A 12610-nucleotide genomic window follows, 5' to 3' on the forward strand; every position below is an offset into this window, starting at 1 on the left:
GGCATGATGGCACACACTTATAGTCCCAGCTACTCAAGAGGCTAAGGTGGAAGGATCTCTTGGGCCCAGGAGGTCGAGGCTGCAGTGAGCTATAATCAGGCCACTGCACTCCAGCCTGGTGACAGAGTGAGACCCTGTCTCAAATAAATAAATAATTAATAAAGTGAAAGAAAGCCAGTGGCATCGTGGGATACCATTTGCAATGGAGATAGAGTGATGCCCACAGAGCACCACAAATCAGACACAGAAGCTTGAACTAACTCCTTCTAGACGATGGTTCAGACAATAGGCGGATGGGGAAGAAAGCAACCTGCATCATTTGTGATGAATTTGTTTGCTTGAGTGTGGCGGGATGAGGGAGGTGGGGGAAATGAGGAAGGCCAATGGACCAGTATACACATCTGAGTTTCAGCCCTTACAATCACAAGTGATGCAAGCCCCCTCGTGGAGTCATGTATACCACAGATCATATTGTAACACCTTGGAATAAGAGAGCTTTTATTAAAAAAAAAATCATAACTCTACCTAAGTAGAAAAATTCAAAGTTCCATTTAATAATAAGGCATGAAATATGATAATTGCATAGAGAAATTTATGACACACTTTTATTATTATGCCTTTGCAGCCTACCAGGACTCTGATTCATCAGGCAATTGCAATAGCATGAAAGAAAGTTACCATTGTTTCCAGTTGCAGAGAATGGTATTTTACCTAACAATTAAATAGCAGAGTCAACTGTCATAACAAAAAGCAATAGCTATTATTAGTTCTTCAAATTTCTTTGTGTATTTTCCATCATGAACAAATAGCTGAGATGAGTATAATTTTAACACAAAGCTATTCACAGGTAGGTAAAGATCACATATTTACAATTGCTGTGGCTTAACACTGGCTTACATATTATAAATGCTAATTTTGTTGTTTGGCTAGAAGAGTCCTGTTTTAGTCAAGTTGTTTCTGTTTTGACCAAGGGGCATTTAATCTAAATGCATAGCTATATAATAGTAATTTATAAATATTGTATATTTTAGGGTGAGGTGGATTTTATTCAAGCAGAATGTCATACCTCTCAAACCACATGGAATGATTTTTTAATTTTTGTGAGCAAAATGCTACACTCAATCCAGTACACTACTTTTTACTCTACTGAATAATCTGATAATATCCTTGGTAATCCAGGGCACCTTTTTTATTTTATTTTATTTTTTTGAGACAGAGTCTCTTTCTGTTGCCCAGGCTGGAGTGCAGTGATGCAATCGCAGCTCACTTCAACCTCCGCCTCCTGGGTTCAAGCAATTCTCCTGCCTCAGCCTCACAACTAATTTTTATATTTAGTAGAGAAGAGGTTTCACCATGTTGCCCAGGCTGGTCAGGCCACCTAGTTTACAGAGCATTCTTTCAATCCTTGATAGTTTTAGCCGTTTCTTTCTGAAATATCAATAATACAAAACTAGATGATAGCCCAAACACTGTTTCTTTAAAACAGTCAGCATACAACGCCTATTTAGGGAATTAAATTTTCTTACACCCCTCTACATGTGTTATCTAAGAAAGAAAGAGAGGCATGGATAGGAAGTATAAATTTGGAAGTCCTCAGTACATGAAAGTGTCTACAATCCTAAGACTAGATGTGAATTCCAAGGGAGTGAGTGCAGGGAGAGGCAGAGCCAGGGCTCTTCAATGCTGGGGAAACAGCTCCCTGCACATCCCTCCTCACCCTGCTCCTGCATCTGCTCCTCACCATGTTGCTGTTACACTTCCTGCTCCCTCTGCCCTGGTGCTATTCTTCTGGGTATTCCCATTGTTACCAACCACCTCCTTCATGTCTGCTCAGAGGCCAGCTTTGCAATGAGGCTTGTCTGCTTGCTCACCTCACACTTCAACAATCCCTTCCCTACATCCCAATCCTTCTCACTGCTCTGTTTCTTATTTGTCTATGGCACATGGGACTTCCTGACACACTATGTAATTTATTTTCACATCACATCATTGTCTGTCCCCAGTTACTAGAAGGTGAGCACCCCAAGTGTCTCTTGTCTTCAGCTAGACCTGTGCCTGGGACACAGCGAGTGTTCAATACATACTTGCTGAATAAATAGATAATGAAAAGTGAATGAACTTGGCCAGTGAGCGTCAAAAGGTCAATTTCCACCCTATTTTATTCTTGACACACAGAGTCAAACAGTGAAGATTTTCAAGCAATAGAAAACGCTATGAACTTTGTTTACTCTGTCATCATTATCCACCCAAGCCAGAGATGCAGCAGGGTCTGTTGACTCTATCATTAACTGAGTCACACATCTCCATTTTTATGGCAAAAGAGGTCATCTGAGCCAGACCAGGCTACAGAATCTGGTGTGGGTTTTAAGATTGGTGAAAATATATATAAAATATATGTATATCCAGAATCTACAATGAACTCAAACAAATTTACAAGAAAAAAACAAACAACCCCATCAAAAAGTGGGCAAAGGATATGAACAGACACTTCTCAAAAGAAGACATTTATGCAGCCAAAAGACACATGAAAAAATGCTCATCGTCACTGGCCATCAGAGAAATGCAAATCAAAACCACAATGAGATACCATCTCACACCAGTTAGAATGGCAATCATTAAAGAGTCAGGAAGCAACAGGTGCTGGAGAGGATGTGGAGAAATAGGAACACTTTTACACTGTTGGTGGGACTGTAAACTAGTTCAACCATTGTGGAAGTCAGTGTGGCGATTCCTCAGGGATCTAGAACTAGAAATATCATTTGACCCAGCCATCCCATTACTGGGTATATACCCAAAGGACTATAAATCATGCTGCTATAAAGACACATGCACACGTATGTTTATTGCGGCACTATTCACAATAGCAAAGACTTGGAACCAACCCAAATGTCCAACAATGATAGACTGGATTAAGAAAATGTGGCACATATACACCATGGAATACTATGCAGCCATAAAAAATGATGAGTTCATGTCCTTTGTAGGGACATGGATGAAATTGGAAATCCTCATTCTCAGTAAACTATCGCAAGGACAACAAACTAAACACCGCATGTTCTCACTCATACATGGGAGTTGAACAATGAGAATACATGGACACAGGAAGGGGAACATCACACTCTGGGGACTGTTGTGGGGTGGGGGGGAGGGGGGAGGGATAACATTAGAAGATATACCTAATGCTAAATGACGAGTTAATGGGTGCAGCACACCAGCATGGCACATGTATACATATGTAACTAACCTGCACATTGTGCTCATGTACCCTAAAACTTAAAGTATAATAATAATAAAATTAAAATTAAAATTAAAAAAAATATATTGGTGAAAATGAAGAGGCAAATTATGTATCAATTTTGCACCGAGTTATCAGAAAACCAGGAGAGGGACATAGAACACACACATTCTAAGAATCTGAGGTAGTAAATGGATTCCACTCTTCAGGACTTTTCTAGTTCTTCATGGATGCACACCCAAAACCCTGGGGGTCAGCACAGCCCCAACGGATGAGAAATCTGCATGATCTGGGAGTGCAGCTCATGGTCTTATGACCCTTTCAACAATATGATCCCTGCAGGGGCCACCTCAGAACTGAAAGTTCTGCTTACTCTAATTATGAATATTCCTTTTCAAGCCGTGTTGTACTCTTTACTATGGAAGGACTTTAATGGGCTTGGCCTTGATCTAACCCCACCCGCCTCATATGTGAACAATGGTCCACAGGATTTCACAGGATGGAGTGCCTGCCAGGAAGAAGCCACCGTGAGCAGGTCCAGGGCACCAGTGTGGTCCATGACTGAGCCTAAGAGAGGCACCTTCCCTGGAGATGTGGAGAACTTCCAAGGAAACTCACAAAATTCCTCCACAGCTGCATAAGAAATCGTTTGTCCACCTTCTCCTCTAGGACTAAAAGATTTTTTTATCTCCCGCTGAATAGAGGAAATTAAATTTCATTCTTTATTAACACACAGCAATGTTCTGCTCAGAGAAGGCATTAAATCTTTGCTGATTGAACAGTTGAAATAAAGACATAAAGAAATTTGTCAAGGCCATTTCACGACTTCACCAGCAACCACTTATTCTCAATTAATTCTAGACTGTATTATAATTTCCTGTGGACATAACAACTGCCACTTAAAACCTTCCCTTTATTGCATGAACACACGCCAAAGAAAAATTTTAGCACAGAAGTCTACTCAAAATAGAACTTGAATTTAGGATATTGGCTGCATATGACTTGGCAGAACTGATATAAAGAATTAAGGAAAGTCATGATTGTTTTTCTGTAAGAACTACCAAGATCCTTTTCTTTCCATTTTCTAGAGCCACTGTATTAGTGGATATTTGCAGCTTATAAGCACTAGATTTATAAGCAAGAACACTGAGTATTAAATATGAATTTCTATTGTTTATTCCTAGATCGATACCCATAAAGCATTGAAATTGTTTTCACATTTTGCTGCCCTTTAATTGACAATGTTGTCCACAGCTCTGTGAAAACATGGCACTTTTTGACATTTGTAGAAATAGCAATTACCCATAGTAAGAAACGAAAAGGCCTCAGTCAGCCTGTCTCACTTAAACTATGTCCAATGACATGATCAAAATTGCTTTAGAAACACTGTTGCTCAAGTGACTATCAAAGTAATAAGCCTGAGGAAGAAAATCCATTTTTGCTGAACAAAGTAGGAGCTAAACACTATGCCAAAATCATTGCAACTAAGTAGAGCATATAGTTATCTTAAAACTCAAACGATAAAAGCAAAAACAAAGGCTTTCAGTAGCTGACTTTATCGTTCCACATTGCCCCTTACTGAGATATAATGCAATTACAAGAATATGGTCACTTAGAAACATCCAATATATCATTAATTCCACCAAACCTGGAATGATTCTTCCTAGCAGAGCTTGCTTTCAATTAATTAAGGTACAAGCTTAGAACTAAGAGCTTATTACCTGTTTGAAATCTGCATGTCCGAATTCTACAGTTCAAGCTCTGTCACCAATTTTCAAGGCAATTCTGGCCATTTCAGTTACCTTTTCTCTAATTCATTTTTGTAACCGGAAAAAAGCGTCAAAATATTTCTAATCCATTTCCATAATCTTAAAAAAAATTAAAATATACCTCAATCTAATAGGGTTTTTTTCTAAAAATCTATCTCTCGATGTATTAGCACAGATAGTCCAACTGTAATAAAAGTGAAATAAAGAAAAAAATTACCTCTGAATAAACATTACCATTTTTAAGTCTCTTGCAGATCTTGCCCTTTATAAAACAGGAATTACATATTTTAAGGTGTCAGAAAGATTTTTGTGTCTTGAAAATGTGGTATCATTTTGGAAAGACAAGTCCTGATAGTTTTACGTAGGTAAAAATTAGCTACTCTATTTGTTAGAGAAAATGAAATAGCATACACTCAAAAGGTGAATATTTAAAATCACTTGAAAAGTTTACAGTGATATTATAGTAATACTGAATAGATAATTTTTAAAGAAAAAATAAAATATAACGCTTTGTTTACTTGCATATCTTATTTGCATACCTCTGTTTATTTACATATTTGCATTATCTTATGTGGAGTGAATGTGTTTTCAATTTTCAGATTTTTCTTAATGGAGATAGGCATCAGTCAAAATATCTATATAAGCTTTATGTAGTTCTATGTGTATGCATAAAACATAAATTAATTATTTATTAGAAATGATGACACCAGGGGAGATAGTGCCAGTCAAAGGGCTTATGACATATACATATATATATATATAGAATAGAAAAAGATGCTCCGTTAACAGTTTCTTTTTTCATGTTCTAAGTTATTTTTATTTTTTTAATCAAATATTTAGAGATGGCGACATGTCAGAAGGACAGAGGAGCCATCTTGAAAGGGTTTCCATTAGCTAAATCATGAACTTAAGCATTAGAATAAATACTGATGTTAACAGATTACATTCCGTTGAATAAAGTAGACAACCATGAGTCTACATTTGATTAAATAAACTAGTGAGGAGAAGAAAAAGTTCTTCCTTACCAATTAATAAAAACATAAAAGGAATTCTCAGATTAGAAAATTACTATTTGGCACAGAATTGTAATTAATCAAGACAAGTAACCTCATTGGATGCTAAAATAGTGAATGAAGGTTGCATGAATGATGAGAATCTGTATGGTCCAAAAGAAGCTTGTATTAGTCCATTTTCACACTGCTGATAAAGACATGCCTGAGAGTGGGTAATTTATAATGAAAAAGAGGGGTTTAATGGAATCACAGTTCCACGTGGCTGGGGAGGCCTCACAATTGGAAGGTGAAAGGCACATCTTACATGGCGGCTGGCAAGAGAGAACGGGAGTCAAGTGAAACGGAAAACCCCTTCTAAAACTATCAGCTCTTGTGAGACGTATTCACTACCGGAAGAACAGTATGGGGGAACCACCCTCATTACTCAATTACCTCCCACCAGGTCCCTCCCACAACACGTGGGAATTATAGGAGCTACAATTCAAAATGAGATTAGGGTGAAGACACAGCCAAAATATATCAAATCTCCCCCAAAATATCTATTGTAACATAAAAAAAAAAAGACTAACTTTACAATGGAGAAACCTGTCAAAGTTGCCATCAGTGTGGTGGAACAAATTGACATTATTTTTCTTCTGGTAGCATGCAGTGAAGGAAGCCATCACCACCTCTGTACTTTTCTTGCCAAAAAAGCATCATCTGAATCTAATAATTAAGAAACATCTAATCATTAAGAATCTAATCATTAAGACTGGCCCCAAATCGGGGGCATTCAACATAATGACTGGCCTATAATCTCTGAAAAAGTTATGCTCCTGATGCCCAGGGGAGACTAACGGACTGTCCTGGTCTGGAGGTGGTTAATGTGCCCTGACTACCAAATGCAGTCTGGGATCCTGGGCTGGGGCTTTTTGCTGTAAAGGAGAAGAATGTAGTCCGCAGTGAGCCCCACATGGCTGAAGAGGAAATGTGGATGTGGGGTGTATAGTTTTCTATAACTTTAAGATTATCTCAAAACAAAACATTATTAAAAAGAGTTTGAGCAAGGAGACTTTTTGCCCTGCCTCCTGTAAACTAAAATTAAATCCTAAGGCCCCCACTGACTGTGTGGGCCCCCTCTTGGCCAAGGAGACCCCAGATAAACATTAAAACTGAGTTCCTCCCGTCATGACGGAACGGGAGGTCAGAGGACTCATTATAACACTCTCTTTTGCTGTGTAGACAAAACAACTGACCAGCATTAATGTTAAAATAGAGATCATTATAAGACTGACAGAACAGAGTCCTTTTGGCAATAAGATACCAAACTCCAAACAGGACCTAAGGCCGTGTCAGGCAACGGTTAAGTCACACAGCCCACACTTGAATAATAAACTGTGTTCTCACTGCTACAGGGTTTTAATTTTTCTCCAGCAGCTAAATAAGCCCTGGCCTGGAGACAAGCAATAGTGAAACAATTTGCAGCCCACAGATGCTGCTTAACTGAGCCCTGTTTCATCAGCCATGACCCCAGCTTTGATTGGACAAGAGACTAATTTCAGTAACTTTCTCCAGCTAAGATCATCCACCATGGACTGATTCTGGGCGGTCTACAATCTCTGTAGAGAGAACCAGAAGGCTCAGAACCACTCATGGGCCTTCGTGTCCCGAAAAGATCTTTTGACATATAGGGCCTCATTGTAATATGTTGTCTCTACCAAAAGTGAACATGGGTTGTATGTAACATGCACATTTGCCCATTAAGCATGTGTCAGCACTCCCTTCATGAATATTCATAGCTCTTCTTCTTACCTGTTGAATATGTATGTTTAGCCAATGTGTTCAGCATAAAGCTCCTGCCCAAACCTCTCCTCCTTCGAAGTGCCTGTCTCCGGCCTTGGCTGGAGGCTGTGCTCCCCAGCCTGTGAGACAGCCACCTTGTAGGCTGTAACCCTTTACAAGAAATAAAGTCTCCTCCTCTCTTTTTCTAAATTTATACACACCCAATTTTTTTAAAATTAACTCTCCCCAGCCCTATCTGCTCTGAATTGTATGTGGCTATGGGATTTATCTATTTCTTAGACTTTTGAAAATATTCTCTTTTTATTTTCTAATGTAATTTATATAAATATATTTTCTCTCTTATGAAATCAGTTTTGACATTTGGTATTTTGCTAGAAGTTTAGCCATGTTACCCATATTTTCAGATATATTTGCATAGCATTTAAATCTTATAATTACTTTTCTGAGACTTTATCCCCTTTAACATATCCCTTTTTATCTTAACTAAGTGATTTATTGCTTGCTTTTATCCCAAAGATATTTGGAATATATATATTGGTCATCGCTTTTTCCACATTTGTGTTCATTAACTTTTGCTTTCATCTTTATTTCTTTCTTTCTTTCTTCTGCTTTCATTGAGTTTATCTTCCAATTTCCAAAGTCTTTAAGAATAAATATTTAATCCATTTATGACTTTTGTTTTATTAATAAAGAAAATAAAGCATTGATTGTCCTCTGGGAATTGAATTAATATAATTTCTAGATAGTTTAATATTTCTTCTATGAGTTCCTTTTTGACCTCTTGAGTTGTTTAAAGAGACATTTTCTTCCTTTCCTTCTCTTTTGAAAAATTAGCAGATGACGGTTTTATTTATTTCTAGTCTTGTTATTACCGTGTTTAGTTTGATTGCATTGTTATAGATAAAGTTGGTTATGCCATTTCTTTATTTTTGACAGTTTTTAAAATTTTCTTTATGGCTGTATTAGTCTATTCTTGCATTTCTATAAACACCTGAGACTGGGTAATTCATAAGAAAAGAGGTTTAATTGGCTAGTAATTCTGCAGGCTGTACAGGCAGCATGGTGGCTTCTGCTTTTGGGGAGGCCTCAGGAAGCTTTCACTCACGGCAGAAGGTGAAGTGGGAGCAGGCACATCACATGGCGAAAGCAGAAGCAAGAGACAGAAAGTGAGATGCCGTTCCTTTAAACAGCCAGATCTCCAGAGAACCACTCACTATATGGTGAAGACAGCACTAACAGCATGGTGCTAAAGCATTCGTGAGAAACCCTCCCACGTGATCCAGTCACCTGCCACCAGGCTCCTCCTCTGACACCGAGTATCACAATTCAACAGGAGATTTGGGCAGGGACACAGATCCAAACCATATCAATGGCATATATGATATAATTCTTTAGGCCTGGTGCAGTGGCTCATGCCTGTAATTCCAGCACTTTGGGAGGCCAAGGCAGGTGGATTACTTGAGTCCAGGAGGAGCTTGAGACCAGCCTAGGCCACATGGCAAAAACCTATCTCTACTAAAAATAGAAAAATTAGCCAGACATGGTGGCATGTGCTTGTAGTTCCAGCTACTCAGGAGGCTGAGGCAGGAGGATCACTTGAGCCTGGGAAGTGGAGGTTGCACTGAGCCAAGATCACATCACTGCACTCCAGACTGGGCAACAGAGGCAGACCTTGTCTCCAAAAAAAAAAAAAAATTTTGTGTGTGTGTGTGTAGATTTTTAATAGGATTTGAAAGAAGTTGCATTCTCTAAAAAATATGTTTAATATAATCAATTTAATTTAATTTAGTATTTAAGGCCACTATGTTTTCATCCGTTTATGACCACTTAAGCTGTCATGAAATTCAGCATCAATTAAATTCTCATAGCTAATACATTCACATCCATTTATTGTTAAATTATCTGTCCTTTTTAAAATAAGTATCAGTGATCTATGGAAATCTATAAATGCTAAATTTTCATTTCGTATTGTATTCTAATCATTACAAAGTGTCTGCCCGGGATCCTTTTAGTAGTATGTTGCCCAAACTTGCAGGATTCAGATGATTGGTTGGTGATCCCAGTTGCTTTGTAGCTGATATTGTCATGGCAATAGCTGTGGTTGTTGTTGGTATATCTAACATGCCTGTTTGCATCTCCCCATGTTTCTAACTTTTGACTTTTCTCTTTGTTTTAGATATGTCTCTTGTACAAAACATAAACTGAATCATTTGCCAAGTGTGTTCTATATTTTGAAATCCTTATCTTTCAAACTTGCAAATGTGAGTTTTCCTTTATACATATATCAATATTTTGGATATGTTTCCTTTCATTTTTAACACTGATTTTATATTCTTTACATCATCACTTCAAGATGACTTTTTATTTGTGTTATTTTTCTTATGATGTCTTCAGAATTTCTCCTGATAATTTGCACATTATTTCTGCTTCTCTACATGCGAAAGAATTGATATTTTTTCTTCCTTCTACTCCTCTCCCTCACTTCCACTCCAAATTTATTTTATAATTTAATAATTGACAAAGTCATACACATGAAGCTACTGCCAAATGATGCAAAAACTCACAATCTTAATCACTACACAATACTTCCTCTGACATAATTCCAGTGCATATTTGATCTCTCTGTATCAATTAGACTGCTTTTGGCTGTAACATAAAGTCCTCTATCAAGGAGTTTGAGCAAAATGGAAATTTATCATCATACATAATTTAAAAATTCAGTGACAGTAACTTCAGATGTAATCAACTTCAGTGGGTCACCAACTTCATATTCTTCTCTTCTTTTCATTTTGTGTCTTTAGCATCTCCGCCAGTCCACAGAGTAACTTTCTTCATTACACTATTGGATAAACAAAGCCCTACATGAATGTAAGTTTAGAAACTGTAAGGCATATTTCAATTTCCTTATAACTTCTCTCATTAAACTTTTCTAAAAGATAATTTTTGCCATTAAAATGCATTGTAGTCATTAAAAAACATTTTAGTCATTGTTAAAGCCTTGGTTTTTTTTTATTATTTTTAGGAATAGAAATTTTTAAATATGTCATGTTAATTACAAAAGAAAACTGACAGACACGTATTTCACACTAACATATTTCCAACAAAAACATTTTATCATTGTAAGTAATTCCCTCGAGCCTAAAGATTACAAACTATATATAAACACATCTTAGTTTAGTAAATTTGACAGCAGGGAAGTCTTTAACTTTTTGTTTTGGGTGGCAGAAAAATATAACAGTTATTTGTCACTTATAAATGAAGAACAGTCACGTTTTTGAGTAAGTTATTTGTCTCAACTTGATTAGTTAGCAGATATATTTTTGGTTTTGCTCCCTAAAAATAAATGTTGCAATTTTTTAGCTAACATGAGGAAAAAAATTACACTACCACATAAAGTGTAAACAAAATTATTTTACATTCAAAGGATTTTCTTTGCAGCTTCCCTTTAATTAAAGCTGATCCCCTGCTTCTAGGAGAGCACACATTACTGATATAACACATTCCTTGATCAAAAAGAAGTTTAAATTATTTTGTACTTACTTTACTATTTAAAAGAGGAAAGCATACTTTTTTTTTTTTTTAATTTCTCACAGGCTTCATATCCAGAAGAAAGAGGGAATCTCTGTGTCTTTTTATAGGAGTAAACAATATTTTAAAGGCTTTTTGCTAGGGGACTCAGGCTAGCCTGGAGGTTGGAACTGAACGCCTTCCCCACTGCTAGCAGGGAAGAGGGGTTTCCTTTGTTCCCATTTGAGGAGAATTTACTGCCAGTGTAGCAAGGCACCGTCATGGCTAGCAACAGTTGGTCTGGTCGCAGGTGAGCCGAGATAGTGATTGGTAACACCCTCCATCCTTAGGACACCCAGAGGGCCACGAACCCCACCACAGACGCCTTACCTGATTGCCCAGTGCTTTGTACAATTCTCTTAGTTTATTTTTATTTTTTAGATACTTAAGGTTTATATGATATTTTGATATATTTATCTATATATACCACAGTCAAACAAACTAACATGCCCATCATCTCATAGAGTTTTCTTTCTCTTTCTTTGCTCCTTTTCCTTCCTTCCATCCTTCCTTCCTTCCTTCTTTTCTTTTTCTTTCTTTCTTTCTTTCTCTTTCTTTCTTTCTCTCTTTCCATCCTTCTTTCTTTCTTTCTCTTTCTTTCTTTCTCTCTTTCCATCCTTCTTTCTTTCTTTCCTTCCTTCTTTCTTTCCTTCCTTTCTTTCTTTTTCTTTCTTTCTCTTTCCTTTTTCTTTCTTTCTCTCTCCCTCTTTCTTTTTTTTTTGAGTACCTAAAATCTACTCTCTTGGTAAAGTGCCTGCACACAATACAGTATTATTAACTACTCTCCTCATGTTGTACATTGCATCTCTAGACTTCTTCATAGGCTTTGGAAGCCGATAGTTTTGAAAGAACAGCATCATATTATTCAGCATTTCAGAGAGGCCCCCATCAAAAACGAAATGCTCTGTTAGCCTCTGGGCGTGCTGCCAGCTGAGGGCCCCAGCTGAGCACCCAGGCCATGGAAGAAAGCTGCCTTGCCCAAGCTCATGTCCCCTCCCGGCGCAGTCCACGCCTGATGTCGGCTTGATGTGGAGAACGTGACCCAGGCTCTGTCTGAATTCAGGACATCCCAGGAGGCATCTCCACGCATCGGAGCTCCCGTGGCCTAGGCTGGAGCCTCCTCGGAGGCCTCTGTGCCACTCCCTCCCAGGGTGGGTTATCCTGAGTGCTTCCTAATAGGGGTCTGCAGAGGCAAATCCCAGCCCAGGGAGCCCAACCTCACCCGGGACTTACCCCAGAGAGCA

The 12610-nt window shown here is 37.9% G+C and overlaps 1 annotated feature.

Moving 5' to 3' along the window:
* Positions 11896-12396: an enhancer, noted in NCBI's record as "H3K4me1 hESC enhancer chr10:4649568-4650068 (GRCh37/hg19 assembly coordinates)". NCBI's record gives its function as "activates a minimal SCP1, AML or CMV promoter by ChIP-STARR-seq in naive H9 embryonic stem cells {active_cell/tissue: H9 hESC(naive)}" and the evidence as "EXISTENCE:reporter gene assay evidence [ECO:0000049][PMID:30033119]".

Source organism: Homo sapiens, chromosome 10, assembly GCF_000001405.40.
Source record: "Homo sapiens chromosome 10, GRCh38.p14 Primary Assembly".
NCBI classification, from domain to species: Eukaryota; Metazoa; Chordata; class Mammalia; order Primates; family Hominidae; genus Homo; species Homo sapiens.